Source organism: Homo sapiens, chromosome 3 (assembly GCF_000001405.40).
Source record: "Homo sapiens chromosome 3, GRCh38.p14 Primary Assembly".
NCBI classification, from domain to species: domain Eukaryota; kingdom Metazoa; phylum Chordata; class Mammalia; order Primates; family Hominidae; genus Homo; species Homo sapiens.
The window spans coordinates 136,930,649-136,951,935 of NC_000003.12; the positions used below are offsets into that span (position 1 = coordinate 136,930,649).

At 36.6% G+C, this 21,287-nt stretch overlaps 1 protein-coding gene and 1 long non-coding RNA gene across 10 annotated transcripts in view; one reads left to right on the forward strand and one right to left on the reverse strand.

The window, feature by feature from the left end:
* NCK1 (NCK adaptor protein 1) overlaps positions 1–20,958 on the forward strand; it is an 89,399-nt gene extending 68,441 nt beyond the window's left edge. For all 7 annotated transcript variants that reach the window (NM_001291999.2, XM_047448189.1, NM_006153.6 and 4 more), the window contains 2 exons: positions 14,935–15,647; positions 17,611–20,958. In NM_001291999.2, the coding sequence (NP_001278928.1) occupies positions 14,935–15,647; positions 17,611–17,805 (908 nt within the window). In that variant the 3' untranslated portion in view covers positions 17,806–20,958. The remainder of the gene's footprint in view (positions 1–14,934; positions 15,648–17,610) is intronic.
* The window catches only part of IL20RB-AS1 (IL20RB antisense RNA 1), a 36,206-nt gene continuing 30,256 nt past the window's right edge, over positions 15,338–21,287 (reverse strand). For all 3 annotated transcript variants that reach the window (NR_183727.1, NR_183728.1, NR_183729.1), the window contains one exon: positions 15,338–15,683. This is a non-coding gene — a long non-coding RNA (IL20RB antisense RNA 1). The remainder of the gene's footprint in view (positions 15,684–21,287) is intronic.

Here is a 21,287-nt window from a genome sequence, read left to right on the forward strand (position 1 = left end):
TTCTGCTTTTGTAAATTTAAAGGAAAACTCTTATTTGGTGGGTTTATGTAAGCTACTACATTATGTGTATGTAATATAAACCAAATGATTGGTGATATATCCAAAAATTGTAGTTTCGACTTGGTAAGTAAAATAATTTTAAAATGTTTTAGCATGAATGTTTAACAAGTAGAGAAAGGATATAAATGGTTTGAGTTTGATGCAGTTCTAATTCAGTAATTTTCAACTTAGCACAGACATTTGAAGTGAATTAAATAAATTGTAAACATTAAAAACATTAGATAAAAAGGATTAGGTGAACAAATTTCTTCATCCTCAACTTTGGAATTAACTTTTTTTTTTTTAACTACTTTTTGCTTACTTTTTTTTTAGCGGAACAGTGTAAAGATAATCTTTAATAAAAACACTAGTAAAGAGAATATTTTTATTTAATTAATGTAGTATTGCTAGAAATTGATGTTTTGATTAATGTGAGATTTGATATTTTGATATGAGTTATGAGAACAGCTATACAACCAAGAGGAAAATAGTGAATTCTTGACTGTTATTGAGTTTGGGTCATGAAGTAAAACTAATAATAATTTATAAGAGCCTAATTCTGCTGATTCTGCTAGTGGCCTCCTTATGATCTTATAGTGAACTTAATTTGATCTCCTTGAACATTTGCTTGGTGTTTCTAGAAAAATGAACAGAGGAATTATTATAGAAGTCTCTTATGCACAACAAGCCTAAGGAAACAAAGAGTAACCTGACAAGAGATTCCAGAGAAAAGGGCAAAAGAGAAAAGGAATAAGCACTTTGTTGAAAAAGAATGTTGTAATTGTAATGTGAAGACTCATTTGTTAGCTTTAGTGACTCCCTCTGGAATATGTCTCTTCTGTTTACTTTTTGGGGAGTTACTAAAATTTCAGATCTTTGCATTTTTCATTTTTTGGGTAAGTTTTACCTTTGAAGAACTTACTTATTTGCTCATTCATTTGTTTATCAACACATTCTTATTGAGAGCCTACTCCAAGCCAGGCAGAAATCATAGGGTGAAAAACTAATACTAACTCTAGCAAATCTTACATTCTGGTGGAGAGGTATATGATGATTGTTATTAATAATACAGTGGATTTCATATCTAGATTTAGTCATAAGTGATGTTGACCATAAAGCAACCAGAAATGACATAAAAAGAATCCATTGTGGCTAGGCGTGGCAGCTCAAGCCTGTAATCTCAGCACTTTGGGAGGCCGAAGTGGGTGGATCACTTGAGGTCAGGAGTTTGAGACCAGCCTGGTCAACATGGTGAAACACTGTCTCTACTAAAAATGCAAACATTAGCTGGGCGTGGTGGCGGGTGCCTGTAATCCCAGCTACTTGGGAAGCTGAGGCAGGAGAATCACTTGAAACCAGAGGTAGAGGCTGCAGTGAGCCAAGATTGTGCCACTGCATGCCAGCCTGGGCAACAGAGCGAGACTCCATCTCAAAAAAAAAAAAAAAAAAAGAATCCATTGTATCATTGATACAGTGATTCAATATATATCATCAATACAGTGGTAAAATTATTCTTTTTGCTGAGTCTTAGGAAGTTGATAGTTAATGCATTTGCAGACTGGGAGTCAGGATTTGAAATTTGTAACCAAAATGTTTCTTTGCTCAATCCCTGCAGCAACCCCAAATTTTTATTTATTTTGCCAGGCAGTTTGTCAGAGTAGAGACAGGCTATTCATCTACTTCCTACCTGAATGGGCTTATAAAGTAGAAGAAACAGAGTATTATGTGCTTTTTGTGTGGCAGCCAGAGTATCTTTGAAAACAAAAATTGTACAATGTTTTAAATAAAACAATAAAAAATAATTTATTTCATGTAGATGAAGTGAACAGATGGACATATAAAAATTTAAATAAAAACCTGTAATGGAAGGAATACCATATATTTATATGTGGTATTTCTTAGTTCTGTTCCCAGACATATCACTTACAAGCCATGTGGCCTGCAAAATATAACTGAACTTCTCTGATTTTCTGTTCCTTGTAAAAGAGAGAGTTGGGCAAGACTAAATGATCCTGGAAAGTCCCTTCTAACTCTAAAAGTCTTACATCCTGGTAAACAACTAAGCAGTCTTAGGTGTGTCATAGGAATTGAGCGAAAGCAATGAGTGAGAAATTGGTTTTGAAGAAGTAGAAACATGGGAACAGAATTGTAGTTGACTAAGGAATTAGAAGAAACAGAAAAACTTTCTTTGGCCCCATTCTCAACACTTACTCAGTGATACAGGTGAAGGAAAAACAACATGCTTAAACTAAAGAATACTGAAATCACTAATAAGTACACTGGGTTCAGAAATATATTTGGAAACTAAAATCAAGATAGAAATAAACAAGATGAATAGGAACAGACAGTATTGTAAAACTCTACATTAAAATTTTAAAAGGAATTGTATAGATTGGTGAGAACCTAGCCTGGCAGCAGCTTACATGAGTAAAAAACTTAGTAAGAGCTGCTGTGGTAATGTAGGTACTAAAACTCTCAACACAGTCCATGGTGACATTGATTCGAGTCTGAGAGGTGCTTAGGTGGAGGTATGCTCCCTTATGTGTGTGTTGGCCAAATAAAACATGATGTAATTAATCCACTTTTGATAGATATTCTTTAACAATGGTATTGAGAAACTTGGATGCTTCCAAATGCTGGCATCCAGTATATCAAGGATTTGCAAACCAGGTCACATAAGGAATAGTTATGGGTACAAAGACTTGCCTCAGGGAGCACAGCTGTCATATGAAGAAGGAATGTTCACAGTGCTTAACCAGGTTCTTAAGAATTCTTGTGGAGTTTATAATGCATTGTTCTGGTTAAGAAACAGTGCTATAGGAAAAGAGAAGTAAAGACCAGTGGGTGGTAGTGAGGGAAAGATCAGAAATTATCTTTACACTTTTTTTTTTTAATTTAAGCAAAGCTAACAATAAAAAACTGCCTCAGAATGGTACACTTCCTCAGTGCTTAGATCTGAGCAGTTTCCTTCCAACTACAGCCAGGTCCAGCTATATAATGCAAGAATAAAGATTTAAGTAATCTTTTTTTTTTTCTTGAGACAGTCTTGCTCTGCCACCCAGGCTGGAGTGCACTGGTGCCATCTCAGCTCACTGCCACTTCTGTCTCTCAAGTTCAAACGATTCTCGTCCCTCAGCCTCCCAAGCAGCTGGGACTACAGGTGCATGCCACCACACCTGGCTAATTTTTTTTGTATTTTTAGTAGAGATGGGGTTTCCCCATGTTGGCCAGGCATGTCTCGAACTCCTGGCCTCAAGTTATCTGCCTGCCTCAGCCTCCCAAAGTGCTGGGATTACATGCCTGAGCCACCTTGCCCGGCCAAGTTTAAGTAATTTTGAAAATTAAACACCATAAGCACTAGAAGGTAGGAAAATAGTAACCACCATTGATGGAGTTCCTGCTATGTACTGTAAGTGCTTTACACATAGACTTCTAAAAATTTTTTACAAGCATTTTATGAATTTATTTTTTTACACACCACCATTGTACAAACAAGGATACTGGAGGTTTTTTTTTTTAACTTTTAGGGTTGGGGGTACATGTGAAGGTTTGTTACATAGGTAAATACATGTCATGGGGGTTTGCTGTTCATATTATTTCTTTCTTTCTTTTTTCTGAGACCAAGTCTCACTCTGTTGCCCAGGTTGGAGTGCAGTGGTGTGATCTCGGCTCACTGCAACCTCTGCCTTCCAGGTTCAAGTGATTCTCCTGCCTCAGCCTCCCGAGTAGCTGGGATTACAGGTGCCTGCCACCACGCCTGGCTAATTTTTGTGTTTTTAGTAGAGATGGGGTTTCACCATGTTGGCCAGGCTGGTCTCGAACTCCCAACCTCATGTGATCCATCCGCCTCAGTCTCCCAAAGTGCTGGGATTACAGGTGTGCACCACCGCGCCTGTCCTGTTGTACATATTATTTCATCACCCAGGTATTAAGCCCAGTATCCAATCATTATCTTTTCTCCTACTCTCCTTTGCCCACCCTTCCCCTTCAAGGGGGAAGCATTTGGTTTTCTGTTCCTGTGTTAGAAATAAAAAAGATTAAATAACTTGACCAAGATCACACAACCAGTAGCGGAACTAAAATTTAAACTTGTATCTCCTATTAAAGTTCTCATAGTAGATATTTTATTACTAAAGAGTAGAGAATTGGAGTCGGTTAAGCAATGGGTTAGAAGGGTTTGATGCAAAAAGGACTAGTCAAGGTTAAGAAGATTGTGGTGAACTGTGAGGTCAGGAAGTGCTATGACCTGAGTGTTTGTGTCCCCCAAAACTCCGCATGATCTTGGCTCACTGCAACCTCCGCCTCCTGGGTTCAAATGATTCTCATGCCACAGCCACCCAAGTAGCTGGAATTACAGGTGTGCGCCACCATGACTGGCTAATTTTTGTATTTTTAGTACTGACAGGGTTTCGCATGTTGGCCAGGCTGGTCTTGAACTCCTGGCCTCAGGTGATCTGCCTGCCTCGGCCTCCCAAAATGCTGGGATTACAGTGTGAGCCCCCGTGCTGGGCCATTCTTTTTTTGACAATGTGTAATTAGTCTTAGACATAATGTTTTTAAATATAAGCTTCCAGAGAGAATCATTCTAGGTTTTACTGATCTTTTGCATTTCTTTTACCATACAAAACTGTGCAAATTCTGAATTTTCAAAAATATCATTTGAAACTTAGTCTGTATTTTCAGGTTTAACTTTTTTTTTTTGTATGTGCCTCATATCATTATTCACTTTTACTCAATTTGACATTTATTGAGAATCTGCTATGTGAAACAGCCACTGTTGGCTTTTGAGCAGTGATGTCATGTGATTGCAGCTTTATTTATAGGAAGATCAGACTGGTTGATATGGATGATGGGTCGACTGAGGGAGAAACTGAATTAATAAGGAAACTAGTTTAGTGGGGTCACGAAACCTCTGGTACAACATAATAGGCCTGAAGAAGAGTGACCATAGTGAGAAGGGAAAGTGTTGGCAATAAGGAGATAGGATTGTGAGGATTTGATGTAAGACTCTTAAAAATTTTTTTATGAGGTAAAATTTGTATAACATAAAATTAACCATTTTAAAGTATGTAATTCAGTAGTATTGAGTACATTAACAGTGTTGTGCAGCCATCACTTCTGATTCCAAAATGTTTCCATCACCCCAAAAATAGTCACTCTCAATCAGTCCCTGGCAATTACTAATCTGCTTTCTGTCTCTATGGATTTACCTATTCTGGATAATTTATATAAATGGAATCATACAGTATGTGACCTTTTGTGTCTGGCTTCTTTCATTTAGTATAATATCTTCAAGTTTTGTCCATGTTGTAGCATATATCAGTAATTCATCCCTTTTATGTCTAAATAACTTTTTTTTTTTTTTTTTTCTGAGACAGAGTCTCGCCCTGTCACACAGGCTGGAGTGCAGTGACGTGATCTCAGCTCACTGCAACCTCTGCCTCTTGGGTTCAAGTGATTCTCCTGCCTCAGCCTCCCAAGTAGCTGGGATTACAGGCACATGCCACCACGCCTGGCTAATTTGTGTATTTTTAGTAGAGATGGGGTTTCACCATGTTGGCCAGGCTGGTCACGAACTCCTTACCTCAAGTCATCTGCCCGCCTCGGCCTCCCAAAGTGCTGGGATTACAGACGTGAGCCACTGTGCCCGGCTGGCTGAATAACTATTATATGTATATATCACATTTTGTTTATCCACTCATCTGTTCATAGATGGACATTTGAATTGTTTCCATATTTTGGTTATTGTGAACAGCGTTGTGATAAACATTCATGTACAGTTATTGTTTGAATATCTATTTTCAGTTAAGTGTATACCTAAAAGTGGAATTGCTGGATCGTATGGTAATTCTTTGCTTTTTGAGAAACCATCTGTTTTTCACATGGTGGCACCATTTTACATTCCAACCAGTATTGTAAGGGGGATTCCAGTTTCTCCATATCCTTGCCAACACCTATTTTCTTTCTTTCTTTGCTTATATCCATTGTAGTTGGTGTGAGGTAGGGTCATTGTGGTTTTGATTTACATTTCTCTAATGACTAATGATATTGAGGATCTTTTCATGTGCCTGTTGGCCATTCGTATACCGTAGTTGGAACAATCTTTATTCAAGTCCTTTGCCCATTTTTGAAGTAGTTGTTTTTGTTGTTGGGTTCTAAGAGTTGTTTATATGTTCTGGATACTAGACCCTTATCAGAATTATGATTTGCAAATATTCTCTTCTAATTCTGTAGGTTGTCTTTTCACTTCTTGATAGTGTGTTATACACAAATGTTTTCAATTTTAATGAAGTATAATGGATCTTGTTTTTTTGGTTGCTTATGCTTTTAGTGTCAGTATCTAAGAATCCATTGCTAAATCCAAGGTCACAGATATTTGCTCCTATGTTTTCTTCTAAGAGTTTTATAGTTTTAGCTCTGACATTTGGTCATTTCGAGTTAATTTTTATATATGATGTGAAGTTGGAGTCCAGTTTCATTCTTTTGTTTATAGATATCCATTTGTTCCAGTACCCTTTGTTGAAGAAACTATTCTTTCTTCCCATTGAGTGATCTTGGCACCATTGATGAAAATCAATTGACCATAGATCCATGGGTTTATTTTAGGACTCTCGATTCTATTTCATTGCTGTATATGTCTGTCCTTATTCCAATACCACACTGTTTTGATTACTGTGGCTTTGTAGTAAGTTTTGAAATCAGAAAGGGAGAGTCCTCCCACTTGATTTTCCTTTTTCAAGATTGTTTTGGTTGCTTAGGGTCCACCTTGCAGTTCTGTGTGAATATTAGAATCAGCCTTTTCATTTCTGTGGAAAAAACAAAATGGTTGAACTTTAGTAAGAATTGCATTGAATCTGTGGATTGTTTTGGATACTGTTGCCATCTTACACAGAATATCTTTCCGTTTATTTAAGTCTTCTTTAATTTCTTTCAGCGGTGTTTTGCAGTGTTTAGTATATGAGTCTGATACTTGGTTAAAATTATTCCTATGTATCTTATTCTTCTTAATGCTGTTATAAATGGATTATTTTCTTAATTTTGTCTTTGAATTGTTCATTGTTAACGTATAGAAATACAACTGATTTTGTGTGTTGATCTTGCAGCTTTGCTGAATTTTTTTATTCTCACTCTGTGTGAGTGTGTGGGTGTGTGTGTATTCTTTAGGATTTTCTATTTATAAGATCATGTCATCTGTGGATACTTTTTCCCCTCCCTAATTGCTTTGACTAGCACTTCCAATACAATGTTAAATAAAAGTGGTGGAAGGAGAGCATCCTTGTTCTTGTCTTGTTCCTGTTCTTACGGTGGAAAACTTTGTCTTTCACCATTGAGTGTGATGTCAGCTCCACAGTTTTTTGCAGATGCCCTTTATTATATTGAGGAAATTCCCTTCTAATCCTAGTTTGCTGAGCATTGTTATCATGAAACGGTTTTGGATTTTGTCCAATACTTTTTCTGCATCAATTGAGATAGTCATTTGTTTTTTCCCCTTTGTTTTACTAATATGAGGTGTCTTATATTGATTTTCATATGTTGAACCACCCTTGCATAAATCCCACTTACTCATATACAGTCCTTTTAATATGCTTGCTGGATTTGGTTTTCCTAGTACAAATGATCCTTATTTTTCACAGATTCTGTATTTGTGAATTCACTTATTGGCTAAAATTTATTTATAAGCCCAAAGTTGATAATTGCAGTGTTTTGTGGACATGTGCAGTGTGGCAAAAATGTGAGTCATCTGATGTGCACATTCCCAGTTGAGGCAATGTTCTTCCTTCTTATTTCAGCTTTCATACTATAAACCAGTGTCCTTTGTGCAGTCTATTTAGTACCACATTTTTTGCATTTTTGTGCTTGTTGATGATTTTGCTGTTTAAAATGGCCCCCAAGCATAGTGATGAAGTGTTGCCTAGAGTTCATAAACACAAGAAAGCTGTGAATTTGCTTATGGAAAAAATGTGTGTTAGATAAGCTTCATTTAGGCATGAGTTATAGTGATGTTGTGAATTCTATGTTAATCACAATTTATATTAAAGTGTCTTTAAAGAGAAACACACATAAAACAGGGTTGTGTAGTGATTGGTTAACAAAAACATGATTGGAGCCTAACCCTGTTTTTCCCTTAGGAGCTGTGGTTCAGTATTTGCTAATTCAGTATTTATGGTAACTTTATAGAACATAACTACTGCAAACAATGAAAATCAACTGAATTTTGTTGAGGATTTTTGCATCTATATTTCTAAGTGATATTAGCCAGTTGTCTTGTGATAGCTTTGGTATTCTGGGTAATATTGGCCTCATAGAATGAGTTAATAAGTATTCTCTCCTTTTTTCTTTTTAGAGATGTTTTAGAAGCATTGATGTTAATTCCTCTTTAAACGTTTAGTAAAATCCACCAGTGAAACCATCTGGTCCAGAGCACATTTTTGATGCGAGATGTTTTGTTACTGATTGAATCTTTTACTTGTTATATGTCTGTTCAGATTTTCTATTTTTTCCTGAGTCAGCTTTGGTAGTTTGTGTGTTTCTTGGAATTGATGTTTTTCTTCTAGGTTTTTTAATTTATTGGCATACAGTTGTTCATAGTATTTGTTTATAATCCTTTTTAAAATATCTGTAAGGTCTGTAGAAATGTTATTTCTGATTTTATTTATTTGAGTGTCTCTCTTGTTGGTCTAGCTAAAGAGTTTTCAATTTTACTGATATTTTCAAATAACCACATTTTGGTTTTGTTGATTTCCTCTGTTTTTCTGTTCTCTTTTGTGTATATCTCTGCTCTGATTTTTATTATTTCCTTCTTTTTGCTTTGAGTTTAGTTTTTCTTTTCCAGTTCCTTAAGATTAAATTTAAGTTGGTAATTCGAGATCTTTCTTCTTTTTTATGCAAGCTTTTAGGGCTATAAATTTCCCTCTGAGCATTGCCTTTGCTGCCTCCCATAGGTTTTTGTATGTTGTGTTTTCATTTTCATTTGTCTCACAGTAGTGTCTAATCTTGTGAAATTTCTTGGTGACCTATTGGTTTAAGAGAGTGTTAGTTGCCACACACTTGTTAATTTTCCAGTTTTCCTTTCTGTTATTGATTTCTAGGTTCATTCCATTGTGGTCAGAAAAGATACTTTGTATGACTTCAATCTCAAATTTATTGAGGCCTTTTTTTTTTTTTTTTTTTTTTTAAAATAGAGACAGGGTCTCTCTTTGTTACCTAGGCTGGAGTGCAGTAGCATGATCATGGCTCACTGTAGCCTTTGAACTCCTGGGTTCAAGCAATCCTCCCAACTCAGCCTCCTGAGTAGCTGGAACTACAGGAATGCACCACCACACCTGGCTAATTATTTTATTTTACTTTTTATTTTTGTAGAGACAAGGTCTCACCATCTTGCCCAGGCTGCCGTCAGACTCCTGGGCTCAAGTGATCCCCCGACCTTGGACTCCCAAAGTGTTGGAATTACAGGCTTGAGCCACTGTGCCTGGCCTATTGAGCCTTGTTTTGTGTCCTAATATATGGTCTATCTTGCAGAATATTCCATGTATACTTGAGAAAAATGTGTGATATATTCTGCTTTTGTTTGATGGGATATTCTCTATATGTCTATTAGGTCTAGTTGGTTTATAGTACTGCTCAAGGCCTCTATTTCCTTAATGATTTTTCATTTAGTTCTGTCCCTTACAGAAAGTGGGGTATTGATGTCTCCAAGTATATTGAACTATTTTTCTCCCTCAATTCTGTCATTTTTTGCTTTATATGCCTTGAGGCTCTCTTGTTAGGTATGCATATATTTGTAACTGTTACACTTCTTGATGGACTGATTCTTTTATCAATATATGCTGTCCTTTGTCTTTAAGTCTGTGTTGTGTGATATATATTTATTTATTTTTAGACAGTCTCGCTCTGTTGCCCAGGCTGGAGTGCAGTGGCGTGACCTCGGCTCACTGCAACCTCCGCCTCCCAGGTTCAAGCGATTCTTCTGTCTCAGCCTCCTGAGTAGCTGGGATTACAGGCACCTGACATCATGCCTAACTAATTTTTGTATTTTTGGTAGAGACGGAGTTTCACCATGTTGGCCAGGCTAGTCTTGAACTCCTGAGCTCAAGTGATCCACCCGCCTCGGCTTCCTAAAGTGCAGGGATTACAGGCATGAGACACCGCGCCGGGCCTATGCTGTGTGATATTTATATAGCCACCCCACTCTCTCAGTTATCCTTTACATGGGATATCTTCTTCCATCCTTTCATTTTCAAACCTATTTGCATCTTTGTTTGGATCTAAAGTGAGTGTCTTGCAGATAACAGTTGCATCATGTTATTTTTAATCTATTTACATTTAAAGTTATATCTGATAAGGAAGGATTTCTGCTATTTTGCTGTTTTCATTTACTTTTTTTTCTTTCAATTCTTCTATTACTGTCTTCTTTTGTGATTTCTTTTTCTTTTTTTTTTTTTTTTTTGGAGGGTGGGGGTCAGGGTCTCACTCTGTCACCCAGGCTGGAGTGCAGTGGTGGAATCTCTGCTCACTGCAACCTCTGCCTCCCAGGTTCAAGCGACACTTATATGTCAGCCTCTCGAGTAGCTGGGACTACAGGTGCATGCCACGATGCCTGGCTAATTTTTTGGTATTTTTTTGGTAGAGACGAGGTCTCAGCATGTTGGCCAGGCTGATCTTGAACTTCTGACCTCAAGTGATCCGCCCACCTTGGCCTCCCAAAGTGCTGGGATTACAGGTGTGAGCCTCTGTGACTGGACTATTTTCTCTAATATATTGTTTTATTACCCTTCTTGTTTCTCTTTCTGTATTTTTGTTTTTCCTTAGTGGTTACCCTGGGGATTAACATCTTAGGTTTTTAACAATCATGTTTGAATTAATACCAACTTAGTTTCAGTACTATGCATAACTCTGCTCCTTTGCAGCTCCATCTTTGTATATTACATCTTTACACATTAAAATATATGCCCATTAACCTAGAATTGAAATTTTTGTTTTATGCATTTGTATTTTAAATTGTGTAGGAAAGAAAAGGAGAATTTACAAAAAAAAACTGCAATACTACTGACTTTTATATTTACTTATGTAGCTACCTTTACCATTGTTCTTTATTTCTTCATATGACTTCAAATTACTGTCCAGTGTTTTTTCATTTTAGCCTGGAGGATTCTCTTTAGCACTTCTTTTTTGAGACAGTCTTGCTCTGTCTCCCAGGCTGGAGTACAGTGGTGCGGTCTTGGCTCACTACAACCTCCACCTCCCGGGTTCAAGCAATTCTCCTGCCTCAGCTTCCCGAGTAGCTGGGACTACAAGCGTGTGCCACCACGCCCGGCTAATTTTTTGTATTTTTAGTAGAGACGGGGTTTCACCATGTTGGCCAGGCTGGTTTCGATCTCCTGACCTCGTGATCCACCCACCGCTGTCTCCCAAAGTGCTGGGATTACAGGTGTGAGCCCCTGTGCCCAGCCTCTCTTTAGCATTTCTTAGCACAGGTCTGGTAGTGATGAATTCCTTTAGTTTTTGTTTATCTGGGAATGTCTTATGTTCTCCTTCATTTTTGAAGGACAGTTTTGCTAAATATAGAATTCTTTGTTGGCTCTTTTGCTTTCAGCATCAGATCAGATTCTATCCCCTCCCCAGGGCTTATTACTGCTGCTTATTGTGAGTGGTTGTTGTTTGCTTGTTTAGTGACTTTACTAAACTACTTTTATAAGCTCTATATTCCTGGTCATGTGGGGCCGCTGAAGTCTATTCCATTTGCTTAGTAATCAGCTAGGGTTTTAACAGAGTTTCGTTAAACACCTGGAGCCAAAAGAAAAAACAAACAAACAAAAGAAAACCTCTCCCCATCTTTACAGATGGCTTTATGTTGGGGCAGTTTTTGACCACTTAGTGATGCCATTTATAATTCTGCCTTAGCCTTTGCTTACTGTTTGCTCAAAGCCTGAAGATCAGCCAGGGTGAAAGCTTAGGGTCTTCTTGGGCCTTTCCTGAATGTGCATCCAGCCCTGGCCATGTGCACGTCCTTCTTGATTGGTATACACACCCCTTATTACCCCATGTATATTCTTTCCCATCCCCTTTCTGTCCAGGCTTTTCCATCTGTCTGTTCCTTGTCCCAGTTGTTGTCCCTTGCCCCAGGCTGCTGCATCCATTAAATGATTTTTGCAAAAACCACCCAGGAAGACTCCCTATGCCTGGGAATGATTCAAGTCAGGCAAAGCCAAGGCAAGCCATTGCTCAGGTCCTTCAGGGAGCTGCCAGACAAGTTGAAACCCACAATCACAATTGTTTAAGAATGAGATCTGTATTGCTTCCTCTGGCATTAGGAGTGCAGGTTACTGTCCACACAGCCATCACTGACTTGGGGTGTGGGGGATGGTGGGCAGGCAACTTAGGATGCGATAGCACTCTCTTTACCACAAAGCAGCAACTTCTTTCTTTACCAAGCCTTGCCCTAGATTTTATAAGTTTTTTTTTTTTACTAGATTCCAGAGTTCTGCAAAAGTTGAGTCTGACAGTATTTACCAGCTCATTAATTGCATTCATTGCTTTTTGCAGGGACAGTGCCTTGGAGTTCCTTACTCTACTATTTTTGGTGGTATCACCCCAAATGTAGGGATTTCTCTGAAGGCTATCATTAACCGGAAGTAAGAAAATTAGGAAGGAAGAAGTTGATTTAGGGGTATAGACTGGATTATTTTTATTTGGACATGAGTGTTGGGTTTGAGGTACTGATGGCACAATCTGTGGGTGTCTAGTGACAGTTGGAATTGTAATGCCTGAATTCCAGAAAGGTCTTAGAGCTGCAAAGAGATCTGGGAACCTTCTGCACAGAAATTATAGAAAATGAAAGTGTATGATTTCCTTGGAATAGAGAGGAAGGTCAAGTATGTCATCTTGTGAAACACTTTCAGCTAAGGAATTCTTCATTTATTCATTCAGCATGTTTGCTGACTGCTGAATACATAATTTTGTTTTTCCTTTGTTCCTACTACTGATGTATGTACTGCTAAGCGTTGGAGACAGAAACGAATAAGATCTCGTTTTCTGCCCTCAGGAAGTTCACTCATATTGAGGAAGACAGACAAGTAAACAAGTACAATGCAGTGTTATAATAACAAGGTTAGAGGAGCCTAGACAGAGGTAAACAAGAATATGTAAACAGGTTGGGAGGGAAAATAAGAAATTCGGGGAAGTCAAAGAAGAAGAAAACATAATGGAGAGAGTGGGCTGTGATCTTGGTTGCTGCATATAGAGTTTGAGAAGGCTGAGGACTTTAAAAGTTACTGATTTGACAGTAAGGAGAGATGACATAAGAATGGTATTCATAAGAATGGTTTTAATTGAGTAGTTTTGTTAGAATGTTGGAGACAAAGGATCAGATAATAAAGAGTTGGGAGTGTGAGTGGTGAAAAAGTCGAGGGAAAAGGAAAAACAACCTTTTTTTTTTTTTTTTTTTTTTTTTGAGACAGAGTCTTGCCCTGTCGCCAGGCTGGAGTATAGTGACGTGATCTTGGCTCACTGCAACCTCCGCCTGCCAGGTTCAAACGATTCTCCTGCCTCAGCCTCCTGAGTAGCTGGGACTACAGGTGCACACCACTGCACCCAGCTAATTTTTGTATTTTTAGTAGAGACGGGGTTTCACCATGTTTGGCCAGGATGGTCTCGATCTCTTGAGCTTGTGATCTGCCCGCCTCAGCCTCCCAGAATGCTGGGATTACTGGCATGAGCCACCGTGCCCAGCCGGGAAAGACAACTTTTAAAAGAGTGGTATAGTTTATTCTATAGGAAAATTGGACCAGTTAGAGAAAAAATAAATAAATTACCAAAATGTTACGGTTTAAAAGTTGTAGCAGAGTTAAAGTAACTTCATTTTGGAGTAGAAAAGATATGAGTGTGTTTTTAGACAATTGAAGGGACTAAATAGGAAGGAAAACAAGGATGTCGAGAGTCCCAAGAGAGTCAGGAAAGATAGTATTAAGATCCTAGAAGGATCAGGATTTGGAGACTTGAGTGAAGAACGAGAGTGAGGATAATGAGAGTTTTGAGACAAAAGGAATTTGAGAAGTTTTACCTAGGGAAGCCTCAGTTTTCTAGGTAAAGTAGAGCATAAAATCACACGCTAAGAAATGGGCAGCAGTGAAAATGCCTGACTGAAGTTGATGTAGCGTACATTTGTATTGATAGTACCATTTGGTGATTTTCTCATTTCTTTCAACACATATGTGTTAAGCATTTACTGTGTACTAAGCACTATACAAGATCCTTGGGATTCTATCTGTAAACAAACAAAACTCCCTGTCCTTTTGGAGGTTACATATGACTGGGGTAAGGGGAGAAAAACAAATAATATTTTAAAATAAACATATGAGGTAAATAGAGCTACCTGGGTCTGGGAACCAAGAAAGCAAATGGGAAGATTAGCCAGACATAACTGCAATTTTATATTGCATATCATATTCTGATTTAAGATAGAAATAATTTTATTTTTATACAGCTCATTGTAGAATCTAGCTTGCTTAAACTAAGACAAGAAGAGTATGGGTGTGGTGGAGCCTTTGTGTACTTAGATTGTAGCTATGAAAGAAATCTATATTTACATTTAAGAGGGAATTCATTAATTTAGGACAACTTTATAATTATGTTATATAGTTATTTCAGGGCCTTTGACAAGAGAAAAGATGGTGAACTGTCATATAATAACAAATTAAATATTTATTTGGTTAAGAAAAAGAAAATTTGCATCTTATTTCCAAAAAGATGATTTTTAACTACATAGAAATTTGTTATATTTAAAAGCTTTAAAGATCTATATAGAGTTGAAGATCTCTTTTTAATAATGAATAAGTTCATTCTTTTGGTAATCATTTTTTTATATTCTCCTCTCATGGCCCTTTTTAATTTCAACAGGCATTGGAAAAGTGAAAAGAAAACCTAGTGTGCCAGATTCTGCATCTCCTGCTGATGATAGTTTTGTTGACCCAGGGGAACGTCTCTATGACCTCAACATGCCCGCTTATGTGAAATTTAACTACATGGCTGAGAGAGAGGATGAATTATCATTGATAAAGGGGACAAAGGTGATCGTCATGGAGAAATGCAGTGATGGGTGGTGGCGTGGTAGCTACAATGGACAAGTTGGATGGTTCCCTTCAAACTATGTAACTGAAGAAGGTGACAGTCCTTTGGGTGACCATGTGGGTTCTCTGTCAGAGAAATTAGCAGCAGTCGTCAATAACCTAAATACTGGGCAAGTGTTGCATGTGGTACAGGCTCTTTACCCATTCAGCTCATCTAATGATGAAGAACTTAATTTCGAGAAAGGAGATGTAATGGATGTTATTGAAAAACCTGAAAATGACCCAGAGTGGTGGAAATGCAGGAAGATCAATGGTATGGTTGGTCTAGTACCAAAAAACTATGTTACCGTTATGCAGAATAATCCATTAACTTCAGGTTTGGAACCATCACCTCCACAGTGTGATTACATTAGGCCTTCACTCACTGGAAAGTTTGCTGGCAATCCTTGGTATTATGGCAAAGTCACCAGGCATCAAGCAGAAATGGCATTAAATGAAAGAGGACATGAAGGGGATTTCCTCATTCGTGATAGTGAATCTTCGGTAAGTTGATTTTCGGAGGTAAATACAAATAGAGCTCTGGGTATTTTAAAAAAAAGAGAGAGAGAAATGGAGAGGTTAAGTGGCTTCCCTAAAGTTAACCAGGTAACAAGCTGGGACGTAACATAAGCATAAATGTTCCAAAGCTAAAGTCCGCATTCTTTCTAGCTATCTATTTTGAATAAAAGAGAGCTGTGGCAGTGTTGCTACACACTGAATTATTTCGTCTTGTCTAGTTCTGTTGATTTTGCATTCCTGATATATTTTCTGTTTCTGTTGCATTAAACTAAATGGAGAAAATGGAACACTGGCCTCTTCATTGAGAGTAGAATAATACTATAGATTAAACTGGGAAACATTTAAAAAATTGCTATTGGATGCAATGTGTAAGAAGGTAGTCACTGTAGTCCTTATGACATAGGAAATCCCTGAATTTAAAAAATTGATATTAAGTTTCTTCATAAATTGGTTACTTGGAAATTGGAATGCACTTTTATTATAACCTCAAAAAACCTATTTTAGCAGTGTTTGAAATGCATTTGCAATAAAAGATAAATTATATTGCAATACTAGTAAACAATAAAACTATAAAACCATAAAAGTTGAAAAATAATATGGTTTCATGGTCTCTTTTAGATACTGCTTAGGATATTAGAATTTGATGACACTCATTTTCCTTAAAAATGGCCTTTCTTTTTCCTTGATGAAAGATATCACTACTTTTCCATTTATTAAATCATGGTTAATCTTGGCTTTGCGTGAGTATATTTGTACAAAAGGGAATGTGTAATTGCACAAAATTTTGAAAGAAAATGTGTGGAAGTGGGGTGTGGTGGGGAGAGAGATTAATTGAACTTCCTGATGTGAAGTTCAGGAAAATGGGGCCTGTGCCTAATCCCTCAGAAAAGCAGTTGGTTGGCAGTAGGGAAGAGTGATGACATCCATTTTCTGTTAGTTGCCTGATCTGGCTCACTGTTTGAAACTTTGGGAGTAACTGTAGAAAAAGAGGCTTTGGGGGTTGATATAGACTGTAACAACAACAACAAAACTAATTAAAAAGAAGATAGCTTGAATGCAGAATTGTATGTATTTTCTTGTGGGTAATTGAGTGTAGATATTAGACAAAATGCAATATATACCATTATTTTTAGCAGTATACTTTTTAAGGTTAGAGGTCTCAAGTAGGCATATTTTGTTTAGCCTTCACAGTGTTTTTTAAACATTTAAATTCATTGCCGATATTTAAATATTAGGATATTTATTATAAAAATTCAGACTTTAGACCATTTAAAATTGGAAGAACTACCAACATTGAGACCCGGTTCCTGCAAGGCAACAATCACAGCTGAGAAGTCACCACTTGTTTAGATTGGTGATACACTGTCATTTCCTCTGCCCATCTACCTTTCCACTCTGACACTTATTTACATTATTCTTTTGGCTCTTGTAGGCATTTGAGTTTGTAGCCTCTCCTTAAAGTTTAGATTAATTCTCATTTGTGTATTCTTCATTTTTGGGAATTCAGCATGTTATCTCTAAGACAGCTACTGTTAGCTACACATTGAAAAGGGGTTGGGTGGGTATCTTAGACTTTCTCATGTGTTTCTCTGACTGGAGAGAAGATAGCTCTTGTTCTTCAAATATTTAACTAAAGGATTTGCTGTGGGTGTCTGCTGTTGGAGCCGTGGGTGTTAAGAGACTTTTGATTATGCAGGTTTGAATCCTGGCTCTGTTGTTAACTAGATGGATGATATTGGCCAAGTTATTAATAGCTTCTTTGAGACTCAGTTTTCACATGTGTAAAAAGGGTTTGTTTTGAAGAGTAAAGGAGATAATCTATGTAAATAATTTACCATGGTGCCTAGGACTTAGTAAGTGCTTAGATTTTAGCTTTTAGTTTAATATAAAAATACTGATAGAGGGCTTTCAAAATGTTTACTATATGTATCTTTTTTTTCTCTTTTAGCCAAATGATTTCTCAGTATCACTAAAAGCACAAGGGAAAAACAAGCATTTTAAAGTCCAACTAAAAGAGACTGTCTACTGCATTGGGCAGCGTAAATTCAGCACCATGGAAGAACTTGTAGAACATTACAAAAAGGCACCAATTTTTACAAGTGAACAAGGAGAAAAATTATATCTTGTCAAGCATTTATCATGATACTGCTGACCAGAAGTGACTGCTGTGTAGCTGTAATTTGTCATGTAATTGAAGACTGAGAAAATGTTGGGTCCAGTCGTGCTTGATTGGAAATTGTTGTTTCTAAATCTATATGAGAATTGACAATAAGTATTTTTATTATAACTCAGCCCATACATATATACTATGTATGCAGTGCATCTGCATAGAACAGTTCCTTATCCTTGGCCTTCTGTTTTATTGTTTTTTTCTTTGCTGTTTTCCCTTTGCTTCTAATATTACAGTTTTGTATTTTGTAAACAAAAATCAAATAATGCATATCAGAATCTTTATATGGAAGAAATCCTTTATTGCCTTTCCTTTGTTTCCTTGTAAAGGCACCCTGTTCTGTTATGGTTTTTCATTATATAAAATTATTATATCTATATATGACATATGCTAAAATTTCTTGGAGAGTGTTAATCTTTTCTGTGACTAAATAGCAATAATAAGTGGAAAATTAGAAATTATTTCCAGGTATTATATTTGTCACAGGCCATTGTAAATACCAAGTATATTGTGTCTGCCATAATTTTTAAAAATACATTCATTGTCTTCAGTCATACAGCAAGACACATGAGACATAGATTAGAAAACATGTTGTACAATTTTAATTTACAACTGTTGGAAATAAAAATCACTTAATTTTTTTCCAGTGCTTCTCCCTCATCTGGTTATTCAAGAAAACAAAACAGTCTCTGAGATATTTAGCTTTTCAAACTGTAAATAGATGCTCTAGTGTTATTTATTTTTTTAATCCCACTTGTATTATTTTACCTCTAGAGCATCTTGTATTAGGACATGTTATATTTATGCCAGTGGGAAATAAGTTATGGCCAAGTTTTGCAAAAACAGGAAGCAGTGAGATACTTGTTTTTTTCTCCTCACTAAATATCAGTAATTGTCAGGAATGGTATTACCTATTTTCATTTCCTCTTTTCAGCTTTAAGTTTTGTTGATTGGGACACTAAAACTGATGTATACCTGAGGAAAAAATAGAATGTGCTCATGGTTAGGGAAAATTATATTATTTTTAATTTTTTAATTTGTTTTTTAACCAAGTAGGAATTTGGGTGTATGGATAAGAGGCCAATCTGCTTCTGTAGGCTATAGAAGAAAACCAGTTGTATTTTATGGTCATAATTTGTCCCCCTATTATTCTGGAGATTTAAATTTAAGTAAAGTAGCCATCAGTATTTTAATTGAAAAATACTAAAGCCACATAACTGAGTAGGATGTCGTATGATACTTTCAACAAATTCCCTAATGCTGCCTAAGCATATGGATGTTTTAATTCTTTGCTGTTATAAATAGATATCTAATACGCCAGAATTACTGATGGTAAAATTGAAGTTGTGTAACTTGTGAATTTTTTTTATCAATGTTTTAAATATTATTTAAATCTTAAAATCATTTAAAGACTTATGTTGCCACTGGGTGGCAGCCATGGCTTCTCCCACTAAGCAACAGAAGTGACCAAATATAATTAAGACAAATTTTCATCTCTATTACATCTGCTTTTAAAACATTTTAGTTCATATTCTATTATTTTTCTAACTCAGTACTCCTTTGTTGAGGGTAATTATTAGTAGTTAAGTTTTTAATGGAAATAAAAATCATGTATGCTTATCTTTGCTGTAAAATCAAATGAATATAAATTGAGGAAAACTTTAAATTGTTGTAGGATGACTAGTAGTAAACATCATCTTAATTTTTAACATATATTTGATGATGCTTTCCTTTTCTCTGTATGTTTCTGGGTTTTCCCCCAGTCTTCCTTATGAAAAAAATGTATGTTTGTAAAAAGAGAACAATTAATGCTTTGCATCACAGACATAAACTATTCATAGTAAACTGCACTGAGCTGATATTAATAGAGCAGACTTTTGAGAAAGTAGGAGTGTAGTAGCACTGGAAACAGAATGCAAATTTCTGTTCCATAATTAGGTTTATTGTAGCTATAGCGCTCCCAGATAACCCATGTGTGCTAGTAATATCTATTGTGTGCTCTTACTATGGTATAAAAACCTCGCTGGAAGCTACTTATTTTGTACTTAAATATTTTACCAATTTTTAAAAAGTCTTAATCCAATGCTTATACCAGTGACTGTTTTTATAATACTTGAAGTAACTTTAAGAACTGAAACAACCCTGGAAAACTCTACATAGCTAGATAGTAACAATACTTGTATAAGAAACCAAGTTTCCTTATTCCCAGCCTGGTGTCTGTATCGTGACACACTACTCTGTGTATGCTTGGTTTTAGACTAGGAGGAGAGTCCTGGGAAGGGCAATATTACAGAAGTTTTCTTCCACATGAGGAGAATGCTTAGTTTCAAATTTAAATACATGTGTCAGATGGAACCCTGCCTAACTCACTTCTACAAATAACTTCCCCAAAATCTTAGAAGGTTTTTTAGAACATGATATAAGCTTTGTGACAAAAACAAATGCCATTGTGTCCCTTATTTAGTCATAAAACCTTAGGATTCAGCTGAATATATATTCACACATGTATATTACACATATATCACTATACAGTTAACACATGCACCTTGCACTATTAGTGACAAATAATACTGCTAAACAAAATAGGCTTCATGCAATCTATTGCCATTGCTAGAAGAATAAATAGGCCTAGCAGATGGGCAACTTGGGTTGTTAGAATAAGGTCATTCTTGCAGAATATGGCACTTAAATTATCTCCAGCTGTAATGTCCTACCATATAATCCAGAGGTTGCATAGAAGCAGAGTTGTCACAGTCTCTGTAGCACGTTTGTGAGAATTCTCTAGGCAGGCCCAGCCCTTCTCTAGAAGTTTGAATTTCACTCCCACCTTGTTGCTGGGGTACCTTCTTCAGGGTACATCTAAACACAGTGGCCTTATACAGAAATGTTGTTCAACCCACACAGTGCTTTAAAAAATTAATTGCCAACATTTAAAAATCAGGGAGTTTCACATAAAATTCAGACTTCTTGTTTCCCTTTAAAAATGAGAAGCTAATAACATGAGTTGAATTCCCACAAGTCAACAATGAGCTGGAATCTAATATGGATGGTCCTCTTATCTTTACCAGTGCACATGGTGAAAAAATTCAAACAGTATAATAAAGTCTTCTTTCAAGTCAAAATATAGAGACGAATCTCTGAAACGTTTTATTTGGGAAGCAAGAATTGTAATTCAGGGCATATACACAGACAGTAGTTTTTGGTATGTCTAAAGAACAGAGAAGATGGGGAGTTTTATTATAAAGAGAAATGTTACGTATGTTTTGAAAGAAAACTCATTGGTTCTAGATAAGTTTTTGGGAGGTGGCAAGCTCTGATTGGTGTGTGACAGTGATAGGTAAAACCAGTCTTAGAGTCACAGCAGGTCATTTCAGCAGCTACTAGGTAAAACTGGTCTTAGGGTTTACAGTAGTCTGTTTAAGTAGCTGGGCTTGTGGAAAACTGAGTTCTTGGAG